The following is a 23,267-nucleotide window of genomic DNA, read 5'->3' on the forward strand; positions in this document are numbered from 1 at the left end:
TATTTTGGTCATCAGTGATATTGCCTTTGCTCATCAAGCAGTTATTGGTAGTTAGAGAGTAAATACCTAAATTCATCACTCCTAAATTCTAGACTCTCAGACTTGTCACTTCACCTCCATGCCAAATCTCTTCTCCACTTGATCTTTAACTCTAAGATAACATAAGCATTGCCCACCCACCAGTATTAACCACAGGAATGCTTTCCATCAGAAATTAAATGTTGTGTTATTGACTTGGTAGGCAAGTTAAGCTGTGTCTAACCTATGATGTAGATAAATATTGAGTAAATCATTAAAGATGGGGTTATGAAACAACAATCATTCTTAAACTGTAGCTTTTAAAGGGTTTATGAATATTATCTTATCCTTTTACCACACCCTTAACAATTGGGCATGGAACTGAAGATAGGAAGACAGTGGTCAAGGTCATGCACACCGTTTCTCACCAAGGAGATAAACTGAAAACTAATTTAAGTATTGGAAATCCAGTTTTTTCTTTTCCTTTATGAGAAGTGGGAGTACTTCCTCCCATTAACCAATCCCTAGGATCTTACTGTGCTTTAGTGGTGGTTTTCAGGTATTTCTGATTAACGAATAATTCACTTGACTATTACAGAGTCCTCTTGATGAGCAGAAGCAGCATGAACTAGCATGAGCTCAAGTCATTTCAACATCTGTTATGAATTACTGTTCTTATAAAGACCTTATTTAGTCAGATGTGAAGGACATCGTATGATACAGACTATAATCTGCACCGAACTAAAACAGTGCTTCCTGGACCTTAGGCCAAGTTGAGGAAATGGTTTGCAGAACAGAAAATTGCCTCTCTCTGGTTTCCCTACTAGCTGCCCAACAATATTCTAAGTTAATGCAAGTGCTATATTTAGGGTTTGTTACAAATCTAAGGTCTCGGAAAAATTGAATAACTAGAAGCAAAAGTAAAGACAAGCTGTTTAAAACAGGAAAAACTGGCTAACACCTATTTTTTAACATAAAAAAATAGTAATAGAATTAAATATCAGGAAGTTGAGATTCATTTTTAAAATATTCAAATGATAAAGTGAAATTCATCTAAATTTAGGTGCTATTGGCCGGGTGCTGTGGCTCACACCTGTAATCCCAGCACTTTGGGAAGCCGAGGCTGGTGGATCACCTGAGGTCAGGCGCTTAAGACCAGCCTGGCCAACAGGGTGTAAAACCCCATCGCTAGTAAAAATACAAAAATTAGCTGGGTGTGGTGGCACATGCCTGTAATCCCAGGTACTTGGGGGGCTGAGGCCCAAGAATTGCTTGAACCCGGGAGGTGGCGGTTGCCGTGAGCCAAGATTGTGTCACTGCACTCCAGCCTGGGCGACAGAGGGAGACTCTATCTCAAAATAAAATAATAAAATAAATACTTATGTGCTATTAAGAAAAATTCCAGAAAAAAAAGTAGGAAGCTGGATAACTTTGAGGCACAGCCAAAACTGATTTTATTGCTATATTGTAAAGTTAGCTGTTATAACAGGGCCTTTTAATGACACCTGGACAAAGGTTAGTATTCATGTGAAGGCCTCTCAGATCGAAGGGAAGCTGTTGGTGGGCTCATCATGCCTATGTGTCTAGTTGCCTACCAGACATCTCAGGTTCAGAATCATGTAAATATCTTAATATGTATAGTACAGAGCTCTTCAGAAACATACACAGCCTAACAACCACCAGCCACTATCTTTGTTACCTTTATTCCTATCTCAGTAAATGGTGCTGCCCAGGAAGAAAACTCAGGAAGCATCCTAGATGTCCCTTTTCCCTCTCCTCTTTTTTGCTAAGAGAAAACAGGAAAACATGAAACATGGTCCCTGCACTCAAGTAGCTTACATCTGCTTGGGAAGCTAAGACAAAAACAAGGCAAAGTCAATACAAGATAAAAATTATAGGATAAATATACAAGACTCTGGCCAGGAGTGGTGGCCCACACCTGTAATCCCAGCACTTTGGGAGGCTGAGGCAGGTGGATCACCTGAGGTCAGGAGTTCGAGACCAGCCTGACCAACATGGCAAAACCCTGTCTCTACTAAAAATACAAAAGCTAGCCGGACGTGGTGGTGGGCGCCTGTAATCCCAGCTACTTGGGAGGCTGAGCCAGGAGGGTTGCTTGAACCCGGGAGGTGGAGGTTGCAGTGAGCCAAGATCACGCCATTGCACTCCAGCCTAGGCAACAACAGCGAAACACACAAGACCCCGTGTAATTGAGTTTTACCAAGCACAGTGGCTTAGGATTTTCAGGAAAGAATGCAATCAAACCAGGTGGGGTAGTTTTGAGCTGGCCAGTGACAGGCTGACAAGAATACCCTGGTACCTGCTCTTACACGTTGTCCCTGATCCTTTTTATGAGGAAAACATACAAATGATCTTTTTTGTTGATGCCATTTTCTCTGGAGGTTGCCATTTGCAGTTCTGTGGAAAGAAACGTTTATTTTCTTTTCATTCTCCTGAGCTTCCACAAACTACTGCTCTAAGTGTCCCTTAAGGTTGGTGTAGCCTGTGTCAGTCTCTCTGATGCTACTGTTTTTTAGTATCCACATGCTGTATTACATTGTTCCAGGTTAGAGTTCAGTGGATCCTGAACATGTTTCTTTAGCATGCCTTAGTGGTGGCATGGAAGACACCACCGCCTCTTGCCATGAGGTTGTGAAATACATTCCTACCTACCTGTGGCTGTCTAATGGGGACTAGCTTGAGCCATATGGCCATGGTTGTTGCTTCAGGGCTGGCTGCATGGCCCTTTGGAAGACCTTACATTAGTTAAGGGTAATGAAGATATTGGGGTGCTATTAAGTTATTGAAACATGGGACAGCAGCAGATTAGAGTCTCACAATCATGAAGGAAGTTAGATAATACCTGTGAACTAAATTATTACTCATTTATTCTGTGTGAGCATCACTTTAGAGGAAAGTGCTTCTTCAGCTTTCTTCATAGCACTCTGTCTTCTTACTGCATGCATACCTTGATGTCATTCAACCCCAGGCATCTCATTAATTCCAAGCACTAAAGCTTGCTTCCAGAACCCAGCTATAGGCATGAAGCGGTACCTAGAAAATTTTTGCGAAGAGTTAGGTAATGATTGTGCTTCTTGAATTAGGAAGAACCGTTTATCTCTTCAGTTTTTCTACAATTAGATGCCATAATATTTCTTCACCCTCTTCACTGACCTTTGTCATCCTTTTTTGTGTATTGCCAAAACGCACTTGGAGTATGTTCTTTGATGCATTGAAAAGGCACCCACTTATTTATAGTCACCTACCTTGGAAACATCAGGAACATATCAGGAACTAAGGAATAAAGGCTTTTGAGCAACAGAAGTTGTGGTTAGAAAATTCATGTACTTACCCCTAAAACTATTCCTCAAGCTTTCATTCAGAGCCTATTTATTTTTACTTAAAGTACCATTTTGGCACTTGGGATATGGCTTCTCAGCTAGTGAGTAAAATTCTCTACTAAAGGTAGAAGTAGGACTGCTAAGATCAGCCACTGTTTGGAAGCCAGTAAGAAAGAAGATTTAATACAATACAGGCCACCACTGTAGTTTTTAGGAAGTCAGACTTAGTTAATTGAGTTGCCCCTCAAACTATTAATCTAATTCAGTCTAGTATAATAAAAATAATAGCCAGACTTCAGTAATAGTCCATATGGTAATGATCCCAAGTATCAGGAAGAATAAATTATGTTCCAAGATAATATAATTTTTTAAGACTTCCATCAAAAAAAATTTGAATCTTTAAATATTTGCTTTAAAATGTTTGGTACTTGAAGGTTAAACTTTATCCAGAAAATGTACCCCTTTTAGGTTATAAGAAAGCATTAATGCATGTTCTTGATCTCCAAGTTTGTTTGTTTGTTTGTTTGTTTTTTGATGTGGGGTCTCACTCTGTCACCCAGGCTGTAGTACAGTGGCATGATCATAGCTCCCTGCAGCCTCGACCCCCTTGGCTCAAGCGATCCTCCTACCTTAAGTCTCCCAGGTAGCTGGGACTGCAGGCTCATGTTAGCAAGCACAGCTAGCCCAGTGATTTTTTACTGAAGCACTTTTAATTTGATTCACTGACAGTAGTGGTAGCTGATATTTGTATAAACTTTGTAGGTTTTTCCTTGGAGAATTTCCAAGTGGTAGATGGGGCAGGTACTCTACTAAGACCCAAAGTGGTTAAATGTTTTGGACAAGGTCACATAACTAGTAAGCAGCAGGACTACTTACTGATTCTCCATCTCCACTCTCGTACTGTAGCCTGTAACACATATTGTGCTGTTGCTTTCATCTGGTAGACATAGTGACAAAGTTCTTCCTAAAGGGGTCTGGGGTCCTTCAGCAGGGGCCTCCTCCTGCCTGTTCCATGAGCAGAAAAGTCTGCAGCTGCATGAGGATTCTGTTGAGCTCCTTTGTACATCTCATTGAGTCGGAAAGTTGGAAATGTCCTAACAATCACTCATCCAAGGGTGTCACTGATGTCTTGCCTGTTCCAAAGGAAGAAGATAATATTTGCCATTCTTGCAAAGCAGGAGGAGCTTATTCCATATGCTGCCTTTTTAAAACTTTTACTAAGTCCACTTTACAGATAGAAAAGTACTCAATAGGTTTTTTCTAGCTGCTTTCGTCTTTTCTTTCCTTTGGTACATTTTGTCCCCATCGCCAGTATGTACTTCAGAGTTCACCGTACTTGTGTACCTTTTGTAATACTTCTATAATAATATTTTTTCCTAGAGTATTCACAATTCAGGTATCATTGGAAAGTATGAGGTAGGCATTTTCTATGACATTTCTAGTCTTTCAAATCCATGGTCTAATATAGGCCCTTTCAGAAACCCATGGCACTACCGACTAAAACTGCTTTCTTGCTAGTTGTGAAAACAAAAACACAGTGTAACCTTTTCTCTGGTAAAGCAGTTTAGGTTAAGCAACAGATTTGACTAATTTCTTGGTTTTGTATTTAGACATGTTCAGCAACCTTTTCACTACTTGATCTTAAAAATCTCCCTAAGCCCTGAACAGAAACTGAAATTGTCTGAGCACCTGCCCTTTTGTGCTTTGTGCTTTATGTTTTATGTATGTTATCTAATATCTCACAACAATCCTTTGAGATACTGACATTCAGTCCCAACTTACAGATGAGGAAACCAAGGTTCAGAGAGATGACGTAACTTGCCTAAGATCCTGTAGATAGTAAATGTCAGAGCCAAAGGTGGAATCTCGGATCTCCATATTCCACAGCCTATGCTCTTTTCCACTGTGACCCCACTGCTCAGAAGCCAGTGGAGGGTGGGAAGGTAGGAGGTGATGTGGGTTGTCTAGGGTCAGCCTTCCTGTAAAAGTGCCTCATGACTGAGACAGAAAAATCAAAGACTGAAGAAAAGAATTAGCCAGAAGATATTATCAAACATCTGTTCACACATTTAAAGCTGCCTCTGTGTGCTGCTGTATTTCATGGCAAGTCACATAATAGTCTCCTGAGGAATTATAATCCATACAGAGAGAGAGGGAGTTTAAAAAATTATATAAAACTCCAGGAAATTGGAGCACACCGACTGCATGGGTTCAGTACAACCCAGACATCCAGAAGCACAAAGCAGCTAGTGAAAGGCCTGGCTGTCTAAGCAGGTATTGCCTGTGGCATGTCTTGAGTCTAGCATCACCCTTTCACACAGTCCCCACTGTCTGCGCTAAGCTCTAAGGATTTGTCCTGGGTGACTTACTTAAATGGTGGAAAGGGGTTTTTAACATAGAATGATTTCTTGTGGTTGATTGTAAAAGGTGTATTGAAGATCTCGGAGAATGTAGCAAGTGGGCCTTGAATAAAGATACAATACTACTACCTTGCAGTGACAGGCCTGTACAGTTTAGTGTGGCTTCATAGCTATCTCCTCACTTAAGAGACTGCGAATTGGGACTTGCTTGTCATCTCACCATTTAAAGTAGGTGAAGTTATTGATTTCTATTCCTTTATACTCCCAGGAAAGGGTAGCAGGATTCCTGCATTAGCATGACCAATTGGTCATGCTGAGAAACTATCTTAAAACTGTTAAGTTCTCAGCCGAGTGCGGCGGCTCACGCCTGTAATCCTAGCACTTTGGGAGGTTGAGGCAGGCGAATTGCCTGAGCTCAGGAGTTCGAGACCAGCCTGGGCAACATGGTGAAACCCCGTCTCTACTAAAATACAAAAAATTAGCCAGGCGTGGCGGCGTGCGCCTGTAGTTCCAGCTACTTGGGAGGCTGAGGTAGGAGAATTGCTTGAACCCAGGAGGCAGAGGTTGCAGTGAGCCAAGCTCGCACCACTGCATTCCAGCCTGGGCGACAGAGCAAGACTGTCTCCATTAAAAAACAAAACAAAACAAAAAAAAAAAACTGTAAGTTCTGTTAAGTACTTCTAAACCCAAGATTTGTACTGTAGTGCACCTCAATTCTTGTCAGTGTTGTGGACTTATAAACCCACGATTATTTAACAGGAATACCCAGACCTAAAATAAAGTATATGTTGACCAACCAGAGTTAATAGTGTGGTCAAAATTTTAGCTTTTTTGAAAAAAATGTATTTGCAGTATTTCTTCTCTTTAAGATAAAAATGATTTTTGAATGATTACTTTTAACGTATGAAGAATATCGTCACTAAAATTTGAGGCTATAACAGGCTGACCTTATAATTAGGTAAATAATTCACATTTATTGAATCAAAAGTATATGAGCAGACTTAGAAGCAGTTTTCGCCAAAGTACCCACCCTCTTTATAATACAGATAGCCAGGCAAGGTGGCTTACACCTGTAATCCCAGCACTTTGGGAGGCTGAGGCAGGAGGATCTCTTTAGGCCAGGAGTTCGAGATCAGCCTGGCCAACATAGCGAGACCCTGTATCTACAAAAAATAAATAAATAATAAAATGAATAACGTTGGGTGAATTTTATAATGTAAAAATGGTTCTTTGGTAAATGACAATACTAATTCCTTCTTTCTCTTTCTCTGTCTAGTGAGAACTCAACAGAGGCAAAAGCAGTAGATTCTAACAATCAGTCGAAGTCCCCACTGGAGAAATTTATGGTCAAACTGTGTACTCATCATCAAAAGCAATTCATTCGTGTTCTGAACGACCTGTACACTGAATCTCAACCAGGCACTGAGGACCTGCAGCCTTCTGATTCGGGAGCAATGGATGTATCCACTTGCAATGCTGGCTGTGCCCAGCTCAGCACCAAACATAAGGAAAAAGATGCTCTGTGTCTCGATATGAAGTCTTCTGCTTCTGTAGATTTGTTCGTAGACTCGTCAGACTCTCACAGCCCTCTACACTTGACGGAACAGACCCCGAAGAAGCCTCCTCCTGAGATAAACCCTGTAGATGGAAGAGAGAATGCCTTGACTGTTGTCCAGAAAGATTCCTCTGAACTTCCAACCACTAAATCGAATTCTATTAATAGCAGTTCAGTGGATAGTTTCACTCCGGGATACCTCACTGCATCTAATTGTTCCTCAGTGAACTTCCACCACATCCCTAAAATCTTGGAGGGGCAGACCACTGGACAAGAGCAAGACACAAATGTGAACATATGTGAGGATGGTAAAGACCATATGCAGAGTTCAGCTTTAGTAGAAAGTCTAATTACAGTAAAAATGGCAGCTGAGAATAGTGAGGAAGGCAATACCTGTATTATTCCTCAAAGAAATTTGTTCAAAGCTTTATCAGAAGAGGCTTGGAACTCAGGGTTTATGGGGAACTCATCTAGAACTGCTGACAAAGAGAATACTTTACAGTGTCCAAAAACACCTTTGCGCCAGGATTTAGAGGCAAATGAACAAGATGCAAGGCCAAAGCAAGAGAACCATCTTCACTCTCTGGGAAGAAATAAGGTGGGTTACCATTTACATCCCAGTGATAAGGGCCAGTTTGATCATTCCAAAGATGGTTGGTTAGGCCCCGGCCCTATGCCAGCTGTACACAAAGCGGCAAATGGACACTCAAGAACCAAGATGATATCAACCTCCATCAAGACAGCTCGGAAAAGTAAAAGGGCATCAGGGCTGAGGATAAATGATTATGATAACCAGTGTGATGTTGTTTATATCAGTCAACCAATAACAGAATGCCACTTTGAGAATCAAAAATCAATATTATCTTCTCGGAAAACAGCCAGAAAGAGTACTCGAGGATACTTTTTCAATGGTGACTGTTGTGAGCTGCCAACTGTTCGTACACTGGCCAGAAATTTACACTCCCAGGAAAAAGCAAGCTGCTCAGCATTGGCATCAGAGGCAGTTTTCACTCCTAAGCAGACCCTTACAATTCCAGCCCCTAGACATACAGTAGATGTGCAGCTTCCCAGAGAAGACAACCCTGAAGAACCTAGCAAGGAAATCACCTCTCACGAGGAAGGAGGTGGAGACGTTTCACCTCGAAAAGAACCTCAAGAGCCTGAGGTTTGCCCCACAAAGATTAAGCCGAACCTGAGCAGCTCCCCTAGGTCAGAGGAAACGACAGCCTCCAGCCTGGTGTGGCCTCTCCCTGCTCACCTTCCTGAAGAGGACCTGCCAGAAGGTGGCTCCACAGTCTCAGCTCCCACAGCAAGTGGGATGTCTTCTCCTGAACACAACCAACCACCAGTTGCACTGTTGGATACGGAGGAGATGAGTGTACCCCAGGACTGTCACCTCCTTCCCTCCACTGAAAGCTTTTCCGGGGGAGTCAGTGAAGATGTCATTTCTAGGCCTCATTCTCCTCCTGAAATAGTCAGTAGAGAAGAAAGTCCTCAGTGCTCAGAAAATCAGAGTTCCCCAATGGGCTTGGAGCCCCCCATGAGTCTGGGAAAGGCTGAGGACAACCAAAGCATCAGTGCTGAGGTTGAGTCTGGAGACACCCAGGAGCTAAATGTCGACCCACTCTTGAAGGAAAGCAGCACTTTTACTGATGAAAACCCCAGTGAAACTGAGGAAAGTGAGGCAGCAGGTGGTATAGGAAAATTAGAGGGAGAGGACGGTGATGTAAAATGCCTGTCAGAAAAAGACACGTATGATACAAGCATTGACTCACTCGAAGAGAATTTGGACAAGAAGAAAAAAGGTAAAAAATTCCCTGAGGCCTCTGATAGGTGCCTAAGAAGTCAACTTTCGGATTCTTCCTCTGCTGACAGATGCCTAAGAAATCAGAGTTCAGATTCTTCCTCAGCTTGTCTTGAAATCAAAGTTCCTAAAAATCCTAGTGCAAAACGTTCAAAAAAAGAAGGGCACCCTGGTGGGACAACACCTAAGGGCCTTCTACCTGACAGTTTCCACACGGAAACTCTGGAGGACACAGAAAAGCCAAGTGTCAATGAACGCCCCTCTGAGAAAGATGCTGAGCAGGAGGGCGAAGGCGGGGGGATCATCACCAGGCAGACTTTGAAAAACATGCTGGACAAAGAAGTCAAGGAGTTACGAGGAGAGATTTTCCCCAGCAGGGACCCCATAACCACAGCTGGACAGCCACTGCCTGGAGAGAGATTGGAAATCTATGTTCAGTCTAAAATGGATGAGAAGAATGCTCATATCCCCTCAGAAAGTATTGCTTGTAAGAGGGACCCAGAACAGGCAAAAGAAGAGCCAGGGCATATTCCCACACAGCATGTGGAGGAGGCTGTGAATGAGGTAGACAACGAAAACACCCAGCAGAAAGATGATGAGAGTGATGCCCCATGCAGCTCTCTTGGGTTGTCGAGTAGTGGAAGTGGTGATGCTGCTAGGGCACCAAAATCGGTGCCAAGGCCTAAAAGATTGACCTCTTCAACCTACAACCTAAGACACGCTCATTCTCTGGGCTCCTTGGATGCTTCAAAAGTGACTTCAGAAAAGGAAGCTGCACAAGTAAACCCCATAATGCCAAAGGAAAATGGAGCTTCAGAGAGTGGAGACCCCCTAGATGAGGACGATGTTGACACCGTGGTAGATGAACAGCCAAAGTTTATGGAATGGTGTGCTGAGGAGGAGAACCAAGAGCTCATCGCCAACTTCAATGCCCAGTACATGAAAGTTCAGAAGGGCTGGATCCAGTTGGAGAAAGAAGGACAGCCAACACCAAGAGCAAGGAACAAATCAGATAAACTGAAAGAGATTTGGAAAAGCAAGAAAAGGTCACGGAAATGTAGGAGTTCATTGGAGAGTCAGAAGTGTTCTCCTGTTCAGATGCTCTTTATGACAAACTTTAAATTATCTAATGTTTGTAAATGGTTCTTAGAGACAACTGAAACCCGGTCTCTAGTCATTGTGAAGAAGCTCAATACTCGCCTTCCAGGAGACGTTCCCCCTGTCAAGCATCCTCTTCAGAAATACGCTCCTTCCAGCCTATATCCCAGTTCACTACAGGCTGAGCGCTTGAAAAAGCACTTGAAGAAATTTCCTGGAGCTACCCCTGCTAAGAATAATTGGAAAATGCAGAAGCTCTGGGCCAAATTTCGAGAGAATCCTGATCAAGTGGAGCCAGAAGATGGCAGTGATGTCAGCCCCGGCCCTAATTCTGAAGACAGCATAGAGGAAGTCAAGGAAGATAGAAACAGTCATCCTCCAGCAAACCTGCCCACTCCAGCCAGTACCCGGATTCTTAGAAAATATTCCAATATTCGAGGAAAGCTCAGAGCCCAGCAACGTTTAATCAAGAATGAGAAAATGGAATGCCCAGATGCTCTGGCTGTGGAAAGTAAGCCAAGTCGTAAGAGCGTATGCATCAACCCTCTGATGTCCCCCAAGCTTGCCCTGCAAGTGGATGCAGATGGGTTTCCTGTTAAGCCCAAGAGTACTGAAGGAATGAAGGGAAGGAAGGGGAAGCAGGTGTCTGAAATCTTGCCTAAAGCAGAAGTTCAGAGTAAACGCAAGAGAACAGAAGGCAGCAGCCCTCCAGATAGTAAGAACAAGGGGCCTACGGTGAAAGCCAGCAAAGAAAAGCATGCTGATGGAGCCACCAAAACCCCTGCTGCCAAGAGGCCAGCTGCAAGGGACAGAAGCAGCCAACCCCCCAAAAAGACGTCTTTGAAAGAGAATAAAGTGAAGATCCCTAAAAAGTCCGCTGGGAAGAGCTGCCCTCCCTCCAGGAAAGAAAAAGAGAATACAAACAAAAGGCCTTCCCAGTCTATTGCCTCGGAAACACTGACGAAACCTGCAAAACAGAAGGGGGCCGGTGAATCCTCTTCAAGGCCTCAGAAAGCCACGAATAGGAAGCAGAGTAGTGGAAAGACTCGGGCCAGACCCTCAACGAAAACCCCAGAGAGCAGTGCAGCTCAGAGAAAGCGAAAGCTGAAGGCAAAGCTGGACTGTTCGCACAGCAAACGGAGGCGGCTGGATGCAAAGTGATTGGAAAGATGGTAGCCAAGAGTAAAACTGTTCTATAGAAGTAACCTTTTATTTTGCATTAACTAAATCTGCTTTTATAAGCTTATCAAGCCTTTCAAATTTACAGTTAATGGAGAACACCGTAATTTGAGATGTCAGAAAATGCATCTCAGATGGAGAAGGGAACTTGCAGAGTCCTTCTCTGAGGCTAAGGGAAGTTATATATTATATTCTGGTTGTTCCTTGGGTTTTAAACTTGGAACCAAGCAGTTTTCGTTTTTAAAAGTACAGTGCCTTATTTATCCTTTTTGTTTTTAAATTTACAAAAGCTAAAAAGCTGATCTATGTGATTAAAGGCTTGTATTTTATACTTGATGCACAAGCACTTGTACTGTAGCCGAGAAGACCACCATCATGCACATAAAAGGAGCTTTTCAGCAGCCACCCTGCAGCATCTGCCCACGAACAGATGCCCTTCTTTGCAAACCCCAGCAGTGAACTTCCCTCTCTGTCTTGTTTGTTTGTTTAGATGATGTTTGAAAGCTAAACCAAATCATTTTATGGTATGCAGAGGATTTATAATTATAAAAGATTACTATTTCTGTTACCCCCTTTTAAAAAAGATCATGTTCATTGTTGGTCCCTCCTCTCACCTTTGATGTTTTGTCATTTGAGAGCATGTATTCTAAATTATGTGCCCATGGGACAAGAGATATGTCACAAGTGTTAATTTTTGTTTACAAACTCTAAAAAATCATTTGCATCCCCAAACTGTATTACTAATTCTCACCATCTTCTTCATTTCTGGTCTTGCTAGCACTCCTGCAAGGCTTCCATCCTACTTCGGGAGGAAAAAGCCTAGGATTTTTTTTTTCCATCTTGTAGCTGTAATTTGATGATTAGGATGAAAATGACTCTTATTTTCTTTCTTACCCAGAGTACTTCCATATTCAAAGAAAGCCGAACTATTATTTCCAGTAATAGAAAGGTTTAAGAATATGTATGTCCATGTGTGTTTGGGTGCATTTGCATGTGGTTATCAGCCACAAATGTCTCCCAATCCCAATTTTACAGTAAAATTTTTTCCCTATGCAGTGTGCTTGGGTGTCCCTGAGTTGAGTAATTAGCAAAGGACAGATGGTTTAAAAGTAGCCCAGTGTCTCTGTGAGCATCCCCAATACCACTTTGGTACCAGACTCAGAAAGATCTAAAACAGCATGGAGTTATGTAAAGGTTAGAGCAGCCTTGCAGTTGGAGGAAGCAGCTCCAGCATCTGTGAAGAGCCCACACACCCCCTACACCCAGAGCTGATGTTCAGCTGTATGCTCCAATGTGAATGTACTTGTTGGAGTAGACGTTCATTCTGATTGATTAACACCATCCTAGTAGTTAAATGCTTGTAGTATCACTCCTGCCATGTCATGTCAGGCTCTATTCCGTGTCTCAGAAGTGAGAGCCACAATGTTTTAATGACTTTGTTTGCCTTTCCCAGGTGAAGCCTGAGACAGGCGCATTGGCTTCAACCTAGTGCCTGTGACCTTGCTCCATTATTATAGTGCAGCGTGTACTTGACTTTTCCATTGGGCCGCTCTACAAAAAAAGGCTTGGTTGTTGAAGCCTCAGTCAGCTTCCTTAACCGGTTCTGTCACCAAAATCAGCTTGTATGGACAGCTGCTGCCCTGTCCTTTTTATTTGAAAATTTTCCATTTAGGTTGTTTCAGATCTCTTTAGATAAGCCCAGATGGACTTTTTTCATGCAAATCATGATAATACAGGCCTTCTACCCATTCTGTTAAAGGTTTGCTGTATATCATGGGAACTTCTGATGATTGGATAAGACTGGAGAAAAGTATTTGATTTGTGAGAAATTTAGAATTGTGTTGAATTTCATAGCTAGAGAAGCTTGCTGTCTTATGAAGCCCTGATTTTTTTTCATGTCTTCTCTATCTGATGAGTCTTTTTCTTTTTAGTATCTTTGACTTTGGCCATTCAAGAGCTACCTACATTAATAAAACTGCTGAGTGTGTATGTTGGCAACCCTTTCTCAGCATTAAGTTGCACAGAGGCATTAATGTGTTTTGAATAGGTTCATTTAATCTTAAAAAATGGTTTTAAGGTTTTAAAAATGTCTTTTCATATAGTTGTCACTGGATATTGTGTTTGTGGTGACTTAAACAGCTGATGTTTGCCAATGTCAGGCATGCTGATTCCTGTACAGAAGAGGTGCCCCGTTGGCTGCATACCGACTACCTTGTAAGGTGCTTGGATTAGGTTAGGGAGAGGTGTAAGGTAGTAAGTGGGTGGAACTTTTCCAGTTCCAAGTTTGTAATTCATTCCATTCCTTTTCTAAGTTCTTTTTCATTTTTAAAAGCTCAGTTAAAGATAATAGCCTTCTTTCCCATTCTAGGCTGTGTGTGAGAAAAGGTGTTAATGTGTATGTATGTATTTTATATACCTAACAATGCAATGGATCATCTTTAAAATCAACTTATACTTTATAATAAGGACATTTAAATAGACCAAGAGTCTACATAATTATGACACTTAAAAGTTTAGAATTTTTTATATTTGTTGAATCTCATTTTTGCTGATTCAGTTAATTTTGTTAATAGAAGAAAGAAAACAGCAAAACTTGAGGGCTAATCCTGCAAGGCCCTTTGATACCTACAGCAGGTACTGGCAAAGCAGTTTCCCAGATACCTCCAAGCTCAGGTGTGGTATTGACTCAAGTCTGCTATTGTTTTCCCTACCTTGCAAAAACCTTCTTCCCAGAGCCATCTTCAAGAATGGCTTACCACACCAGATGCAAAAGCAGTCCATCCCACATTCCGATCCAAATCAGAAAGGAATTCTCCTGGGTGTACACTCAGTGAAATGACTGTTCCAGTCTTGGGGCTGAAGTTGATGACCAAAGGACACTGGTATTCTCTGAGTTTCTGGAGAAGCTGGAAGATGCCTGGGAAGCAATCACTGAAGCTCTGCCATAGCTCCCGTAGAGGAGGGCCCTCTTCAGGACACCCATCTTCTATCCTACGAGACTCCCTGCTATAGATGGACATGCAGGAGACCACTCCCTCACTTGGGGTCCTGAGCCTCACCCCTAGCACTTCCTCAGACAGGTAACAATCTTGCAGCACAGCAGGAAGGTTGTGAACCTTTATTCTGCTCCTGAGGCTTCCTTCATAGGAATGCTGTCAGTTTCTGTAAGTCACCAGTCACTAGCCCCTTGGATTCCTTGTTAAAGACTTCTGTGCAGCCTTATCTAAAATGATAATCTTAGGCTGTGAGTCTCCTGCTGTATTGTTCCTAAAATCGTATGGATAGAAGAGGTGCCCTTAGTCATCCCTTTACATATGTGGTGCTTTCTAATGGGATCTCTATGCATCACATACTATGCAGGTGAATTTCTCACTGTTCAGATAGGTCATCAGTAAAAGGCATCACTTCAAGATAATTACTTTGAATTGAGGTTTGGCCTCTTTTCCTGCTTTGTAATGGGTTCGGTCATGAGGGTGGGAGCTGTCATTCACATTTATGGGCAGCATTCCTGTTGATTAGTGGACCTAAGAGCCAAGTAGGAAAATATAGCATGCTATGTGATACAAGCTGGAGATGCTGTAGTGTTACTATCAGCAAGTTCTGTGCAGACTGCCTTTCGGATTCCAGATGATCTGTCAAGGGTCTGCCAACTGTGGGCTGGTCGCTTGTTTGTGTAAATAAAATGTGTTTGGAATATAGCCACACCCATTTTCTTAAGTTCTGTCTGCGGCTGCTTTCGCACTGCAAGAGCAGAGTTGAGTAGCTGCGGCAGAGACCCGTGTGGCCCTTACAGCCTAAGATACTATCTGGACCTTCAGAAAACATCTGCTGATCCCTGCTTGAGAAAGTCATCCTTTTCAGGAACAAATATTCTTGATTTTCCTTCTCTCTTCTGCCCTTTTCTCTCTGTTCTTCTTTACTTCTCATTTTCCTTGTCTCCATTTTTTCTTTTCAAAGGAGACATGTTATATCGATATGCACTACTATCCCCTTAAACTTGAGCAACCTTAGCATTCCATCTTCTTAAAAAAAACCATCACAGTAGCCAAAATGAGGCCACCTTACCGTATCGAGCCGGAACCCATGAGCAAATAGGGATTCAGAGTTCTAAAATTATGTGGCCTGGGCCTCTCATTTCACTCACACAGAACTGACTCTGGCTTTATTTCTTGTTTATTAAAGTAAGCCAAGATTTTGTTTCTGGTAAAATTAGTTGAGACTACTTTAGTTGGACTTTTAGTCCTCTGAATGTCACATTTAGATATGGAAAATGTTTTTTCACAGAGTAGAAACAAAGTCTGATCACAATCCCAAAGCTTTGTTTATTCTTATATAATATTTTGGTACTGATACCTTTTCAGCCACATACTTTCAAAATAATTTTATTAAAGGTAAGCCAACAAATAAAACATAGAGGCTTTTGAAGTGCTTTAATATTGATTTAAAAAATTGGAGTTATAACCAGAGTATGACTGAAAAGCTATTATAGTCTTCCTCCTTTTCCAAAAACTCAAGGATAAGGATATATATATATATATATATATTTTTTTTTTTTTTTTTTTTTTTTAATAGAGACGAGGTTACGCTATGTTGCCGAGGCTGATCTGAAACTCCTGGCCTCAAGCAGTGCTCCCACCTCAGCCTCCCAAAGTGCTGGGATTACAAGTGAGCCACCGCACCAACCCAAGTATGAGTTTCTATGCTGGTTTTTTTTTAATGTGATTCAATGTCCTGTCAGTGAAAAATTTTTGTCAGTGGCCCCAAATCACTGATCGTTTTAGTTGTTTTGAAACAATTATCATTTTGAATTCTTAGTATTACTTTGATGTCTTATTGTGACTTGATATCCACTGAAATACTGGAATTTTTTTTAAGTATAAAATTGATCTGTGTAAGGCGGTCTTCATATCCTAGCAGTAAGTGCTATTCCCCATGCTTGCTCTCAAATCCTTTTCAGGGGAAAAATAAAAAGATTATTGTATTTAAAACGAGCAGAATTGTGGGAGGGCCTTCCCCTCCCCCTGCCCAGCCCCCAGACAGGGTCTCACTCTGTCGCCCCAGGCTGGAGTGCAATGGGCATATGGTCTTATCTATTAGGGTATGTAGTTTAAAAGTACAGTTTTTTGAAAGTATAGTCATCTTCATTTTTATGACGCCCACTGCAGGCTCAAAGAGATTTTCACACCTCAGCCTCCTGAGTAGCTGGGACTACAGGTGCATGCCACCACACCCAGTTAATTTTTTTTTTTTTTCCAGTTTTAGCAGAAATGAGGTCTCACTGTGTTGCCCAGACTGGGAAGTCTTTTGAGGCAGCCTTCAATATAATTCATCCTTTGAAACATCAGAACAGAGTCCTGTATTCTACAATGGATGGATTGGAAGACTTGAGGATCCAGTCTCTTTCCTTTATAGATAATTAGACTCAGGCAGAAACTCAGAGCTCTCAGGGCTTTGCTGTGCTGTGCTGTGTCATGCCGTCCTGGGGCCCGGGGAACCACCCTGAGCACTTTGTGGAGTGTGTCCTTGCTCAGGCTTTTGCCTTGGGATTGAACCGAAGCTGCTCAGTTCCTTCCACTTACCTCCTCTCTGTCTGATCTTCCTTTTCCCAGAGCCTCAGTGCTTGATGCTCAGTGCTCAGGAGATGTCCTTTGCTCCATCCTTCAGAGGGGCAGTTGTGTAGTTATGCTGCCGGGTGAGCACAGACACACATACTTTCTCCCCTAGCTGGGACCATCCCACACGGGGTGCTCAATATGCATGCCTCATGAAAGCATAGACTGTCCATTTAAAAAAAAATCAGGTACTCATGGTATTACAATATGCCAGGGGTTGGACAAATGGATTTTTTACCCTTTTTTAAAGGGTTATGTAAAAAAAAAAAAAAAAAAAAAAAGCAACTATATGTGGCCCGCATAGCCTGAAATATTTACTTCCTGACCCTTTTGTGGAAAAGCTCTACTGATCCTTATAGTAGTCATTAAAGATCAAATTGTGTAGACAGGCACAACTTTTTTTTTTCATATGCTCCAACATTTTTTTCATACAGTCCAGCAATTCTTTTAGATTTTAGAGTGTCTTGCCTGTTCATCTCAGTACACAGCTGCTGTTACAGATTATTCCTGAATAATGCTTTTGCGTTAAGAAAAATTATCCCCCTTTGCCAGTTGTCTACTTGTTAATAAGTTGTGGGCCATGTGATCATATCTATTAGGGTATGTAGTGAAAACTAAAAGTGCAGTCTTTAAAAGTACAGTCTTCATTTTTATGAATCAGAGTGAACTTGACTGTGGTAGACATTCCATTAACAGCAGTTCAGCACAAACAAATTACTCATGAACTTAAAGCCAAGAATAGTGCCTCTCCCTGAAAGTATGCGATGTGTTGGTTTTACCCCTAGAACCCTTCATTTCTCTTTTGTATCATATACTTGAAGGTTTCTCACTCTTCAAGCTCTGGTCGTGATATGAGAACATAGATGCCTGGTGTTTGCCTGTTTGACTTTCGAGTGCAGACCACACATTCTCTTAAAAATACCAGCATGTCTGTGGCATCTTGTCAGGACACCGGCAGCTTTAGACAGAACAAGTTCAGGGCTCTCCAGCCCAGCCCGAGTCACTGCTCGTTCTGAGGAGCCATCCTTGGCACCTTGCCCTCCCTCCTCCTGCCTCTGCTTATGCCGCCAGCCCCCTTCCAGGAGGCATATTCTCTGGGACAGTCCCCCACTTCCCCAGTGTGGCCCTGAACACAAATTTGTCACATTGGAAGCATTTTTCTCTCAAAACTCTTTTCCTCTAGTATTTAGTTGTTGGGTTTAAATGCTATTCAATTTATCCACTTTTTTTTAAACCCCAGTTTTCTGTGATCTGCACCTCATAGTTGTCTTGTAGCTAAAGCTGAGGTATTTGGGAGCTAATTTTTGGGAAAGAGACTATACCAACAAGATTTGCATAATTTTTTATATTTATACCACAGGTAGGGATTATTTTTAGAGTCACTATAGCTTAAGGTTATTGATTTCACTAGTGTGGTTTCTGCATTCTAAATAGTTCTCGGAGACTGTGTTAGTAACTGGTTTCAAATACATATATATAATATTTATACACACCACTGTGGAATTTATTTCACTGTGTAAATAGTGATATTTTCCTGTTCAGATACTTCTATAGAAAGTATTTATTTTAACAAGAAAATTAACTGTCAAAAGGGCTTTCCAAAAAGTGTTCTTTCTAGCCACCCATCCTCCCCAGCTACCATGCTCAACCATTGAGCCCCCAAACAACAGTGAAAGCAGAAAGGTGTGGCCTTGAAACCTTCACTGTATTTGGACAGATGCAACAGAAGCACGTCTCCCCCACTGTCACCCCATCCCACAACAAAGTGGGAATCCCATCATGGGTATGGCTGTGCCAGGCATGGCATCGGGTGTGCCCCATGCAGCCTACTTCTTGCATGCACAGTTGGTACATTTAGCTGTATGGCATCGGGTGTGCCCCACGCAGCCTACTTCTTGCATGCACAGTTGGTACATTCAGCTGTACACTTAACAGCCTGTACAGGAAAATGAGCCTTAGTTGTAGCCCCAAGGAAATCCAAACCCATGCTTGTGAGATATGGAGAAACCACTGGTTGCCTAGAGAAAGCATTAAGGTGTATTTCCAGTTCCCCTTTCATGTTGGTGAAAGACACCTATTCACACTCTAATTAATCATGGGAGATAAGCATGTTACCTTCTGCACCTTGACTTTGCTCGTGAGCACCTGGCTTTCCTCTTCCTCCTTCTCCCCTCTCTCCCTGTCTCAGTGTGCATCTGTGCAGATGTGGGCCAGTCCCCCTGTAACCAGTGGTTACAGAATGATACCATCTGTTCTAAGATGTGGTCAGCTTTACTTCTCAGGAGTCCTGTCCTACAATTCAGAGCACCCCTAGATGGGATGGAACCAGTGCTTTATGATCATGTTCCTCTTCTCTGTGCCCTGTCCTTCGGCACCCCCATGTTAGTCATGATCCTCATTGTGCAGGGCTGGCTGGACTGAGAATTGCAACTCCAGGACAGCAGGGAGCTTTGGGACTAGGCACGCAGGGGTTTTGTCATCCATTTGAACCATAATTTGCATATTTTCTTACGGCCTCCCTTTGTCTTTTCTAAACAAATGAGGCAGACACTTGAACAGTAATGCTGGAGAATGTTTTTTCTAGGAGACTTTGTAAGCAAATCTGATTTTAAGATGAAATGTGAATGAGAAACTAGGTGCCAGGGAATTTAGCACTGAACTAGACAGTCAAAACTTTTTTAACTTTGCAGGAAGAAATAAATTTTGCTCTCGTCTAAATGTTCACAAGAAGTAATGTTGTAAATAGTTTTCTAAAAATATTTATTACTTGTGCTGTATACAAATTCATGTTCTGAGTGATGTTGGTTTGCATTGTAGTATTATAGAATATATTTTGAGCAGTGGACTTCCTTTCATAACACAGTTCACACATGGAGAAAGAACAAAAACCAGCAGGTTGAGAGCTGTTTGGGGCCTTTGATCTGTAATGTTACATCAAATCTGAGCTTTAACTGCCCCCTCTTCTCATCTGGTTATGTTATATTATATATATATATTATATATATATATATACAGGTGTATGATAAACTGGTCAGTGGTCAGTACTCAGATCTGCAGAGCAGATTTCCAGATGTTCTTTCTGATGTGTTGCCCATAAGCAATAAGATCCTAGGTAATAACATTTATTCCAGGGCCCACATTGGCCCTTGTCTCAGAGGATAGGGTGGGGGTAGAACAGCTCTTGCTAAGACCTCTTGCCTTTGCTGGAGAGGTTGCTGTACTTGAATTTTTGCTTCTGTTTGTCTGCACGCTCCTTCATGTCATAGAACTCTAGCAATGGATGAGAAATCTGCCAGCACCAGACACATCAAAATTGGGCACATAGATGGAAAATTTTGCAATTTTTCATGAATTTATAGGGTTTCCAGAATCTAGTTGAGGCAAAGCTCATTTGGCTATAGAGTAAATGTAAGACTTGTTACAACAGAAATTTAAGTGGCCAGTTCAATGTCCTTTGGCTATATTTGACCTACCTTTAAAACCTAGCCCATTTCATATCAGCCTCTTCTGTGCCTGGGCTTGAAATGTCTAAAGCTGCCTTCGTGTCTGGGATTACACCATGTAGGTCAGTATAAAGAGGGCAGTCACTCCTCCATTTCTCCCAGCGTGTCCAGTTCAGCAGATTTCTAAAGCTGTTAAGCAGCCTCTCTTTTTGACCGTCCTAAACTTTGTGAAAATAAATACCCCACACCCAGATAACCATTAATAGAAGTAATGTAGTTTTTTAGGCTTTTGGAATATGTCTTCTCTTTTGTATTTATGATGGTGTTTGGAATTTTTCACTAGTGTATTTTTAGACTGAAGTGGGTGCATTAGGATAAAACTTTCCCTTGCTGAGCCTGAAGGCAAGCAAGAGGGAAGAAATTGACCTGTATTGTATCATTGGGGAGGCGACTACTTCTTGTGGTGGTAGGGGGTGGGGGGAATGGGGCATTGTAGATTATGTGGGGGTACAATAGAATTCTGGCCTGAGGCTCCCCAAGTCTTATTACCTTGTATGAAAAATCCCCATATTAGCCTCACTTAATCTCAATAGAAGCCTGCTGTTTACCCTCAGGGAACAAGTAGTTTTCAAAATTGAGCTCCTCCAAGGTCATTGGCCAATGCTGTGTGCAGGCATTGGTCATCTTTGTAAACTCATGGCATTATTTCCTCATATGCATTATGATACTAAGAAATTCAACCCCAACCTGTATGAAAAGCACAGCCCAGGGCCCTAATTGAGGCTAGCATGAATGCCTTTGAGGGGCCAGGGGGCCATAGGAGGCCCATGCAATTTAACTGAAGCTCAGGTGCCACGTTGGATTTTTATTCTTATTAGGCCGCAACCTTTCTGAATGAGTTTAGGGCAGGGGCTGCTGATCCGGCTGTGGATTCAGGGAGCTCTAAAATGAATCTCTACCGTTCCTTTAAAGGTCTTTCTGGTTCCTCCCAGTGTTGTCATTGCTGAGGTCGATCTCGTAGTTGTTCAGTTGTGCTCTTTTTGCTGTCTTGTGAGTCTTAGCCAGTGATCCAGCTGCCCAAGGACAGGGCCTCCAGAGGGCCTAGCGCCCTCCTGGTACCAAGCGTGTGCTCCTGGCCTGTGTGACAGTGTCTTTCCCGAAGCAGTGAAATGAGAAATTCTGCAAGTGGCCACCCGGAAGATCAGTCTGTAGCTCTTGGGCCTGGATTTCTACTATGTTAGTGAGTGTAGGAATATACTGTGTCTTTAATGGATGAAAATTCAATGTATGCTGTGAATTTGTTGGTTTGAAACATTGAAATTTTTCATTAGACAATGTTTACATACCTCACCTGAAGAACCTTTGAGAGTGTATATATAAAATTTTAAAATATATTAAGTTGCTTTAAAACAATATGTATAGCTATAAAAGTTGGAGTTATTTTAACTTTGAATATGTACCAAGTCTCTTAAATATTGAAATCTTGTAGACTTCTTGTGCTTCTGTGTTTTGCTTTCCTATCAGGCCATGTAGGAAACTGTGTTCTTGTTATTGGTAGAGGGGCCCTCACTGAAATCCAAGCTTGGAAGGATGTCCTGTGTTGTTTCAGATTCTCTTGTTTGGTTTTGAAGGATGCGGTGTGGAGCCAGAGGATGTGTGGGAGGGGTTTCTCTAACACTGACTTCTATTCCATGAGCTTTTTCAAGGCGCTTATTTTATGGCAGCGTATTAAACTTCTTTGATATTCAAGTGTGTCTGTGTAGTCACTGAAGAGGGCACAGAACGCCTTGAAGCCGGGCATTCAACTTGCAGCCTAAGGCAAAATTGATGAGTTGCCAGAAGGAACCACAAAGCAATACTTCCACCAAGTGTCAGGGCTTAGAGAAACCTTGTTTGCTAATGTAAGTAATAAATCATTTTGTGAGTTCTGCCTAACTTCAGGGAAAAGAAAAGGCAATGGAGGAATCCTTGAGATTCCCATGGCAGGGTTGGAAAGGTGCCAGCATTTCATCCTGAGGGGCAGGGAGCAATGGAGGGCAAACTCCTGACCTCAGGCTAGCCACTGGGAAGTGTGCAGGCCACAGGCCAGGGCTGCCCCAGCTCTCAATGCCCTTGTTGGAGTATGGCAGAAAAAGTCCTTCGATTTGCTAGCCTCATGAGTTTTTCATTATATTCTTTCAACTCTGCTTGAAGTGGGTCAGCGTAAGGGCCCACAAGCGGCTCATCTGACTGTGCCATCACTGTGCAGAACCACATCCAGCAAAAATAACCCCACAGCTGACTGCCAGGCCACCCCTCTGAATCTGAAGTTGGAAGATTACCTCATTCCAGATTAGTTGTTTTCATTGTTAAGATAGACCTCTTTTCCTCCAGTAGTCATCCTGTAGTGGAGTAATGAAAATACTGACCCAAGAGGTGCAGACTGGCTGCCTTGGGGTGAGGGGACATCTCAAAAATTAACTCTGAGGGCTTTGGGCTTAGGGATGATAGAGATGTGTCTAGAGATGTGTCATCACCAATCTCAGGAAAACTTGGCAGCTCTAGTAATCAGGATGTCGCCCATTGGAAGTCTGGGCACTGCTTTTTGGCCTCCACCCTCCCAACCAAGCCCGGCTGTGCCCATTCCCTTGGCTGGGGATTTCCCTTTAGCAGTGAAATTTGCCACTGATTTTACTTTAACTCAGAAATAGCAAACTGGTGGCCTACAGATGTGTTTTCTTTAGCCTAGTGTTTAAAAAAATACTTCGTGAGCTTTTTTTTACATAAAGATTGAGAGTTCTGACTTTTGTAAAAAAATTAAAAAGATGAAGATTTGACAGAATTAACTCACGGTAAGAGTCAGCTGGCATGAGATTGG

The 23,267-nt window shown here is 42.2% G+C and overlaps 1 protein-coding gene across 1 annotated transcript in view, besides 3 other annotated features; it reads left to right on the forward strand.

Annotated features, from left to right (window-relative positions):
• Window positions 1-22,159, forward strand: part of LCOR (ligand dependent nuclear receptor corepressor) — a 163,659-nt gene extending 141,500 nt beyond the window's left edge. The window contains exon 8 of the mRNA NM_001346516.2: window positions 6,996-22,159. Coding sequence (NP_001333445.1) covers window positions 6,996-11,337 — 4,342 coding nt within the window. The 3' untranslated portion in view covers window positions 11,338-22,159. The remainder of the gene's footprint in view (window positions 1-6,995) is intronic.
• Window positions 10,447-10,948: an enhancer, noted in NCBI's record as "H3K27ac hESC enhancer chr10:98744001-98744502 (GRCh37/hg19 assembly coordinates)". NCBI's record gives its function as "activates a minimal SCP1, AML or CMV promoter by ChIP-STARR-seq in primed H9 embryonic stem cells {active_cell/tissue: H9 hESC(primed)}" and the evidence as "EXISTENCE:reporter gene assay evidence [ECO:0000049][PMID:30033119]".
• Window positions 10,949-11,448: an enhancer, noted in NCBI's record as "H3K27ac hESC enhancer chr10:98744503-98745002 (GRCh37/hg19 assembly coordinates)". NCBI's record gives its function as "activates a minimal SCP1, AML or CMV promoter by ChIP-STARR-seq in primed H9 embryonic stem cells {active_cell/tissue: H9 hESC(primed)}" and the evidence as "EXISTENCE:reporter gene assay evidence [ECO:0000049][PMID:30033119]".
• Window positions 11,015-11,144: an enhancer, noted in NCBI's record as "active region_3843". NCBI's record gives its function as "activates an Ori minimal core promoter by ATAC-STARR-seq in GM12878 lymphoblastoid cells {active_cell/tissue: GM12878}" and the evidence as "EXISTENCE:reporter gene assay evidence [ECO:0000049][PMID:35858748]".

This window comes from Homo sapiens, chromosome 10 (genome assembly GCF_000001405.40).
Source record: "Homo sapiens chromosome 10, GRCh38.p14 Primary Assembly".
NCBI classification, from domain to species: domain Eukaryota; kingdom Metazoa; phylum Chordata; class Mammalia; order Primates; family Hominidae; genus Homo; species Homo sapiens.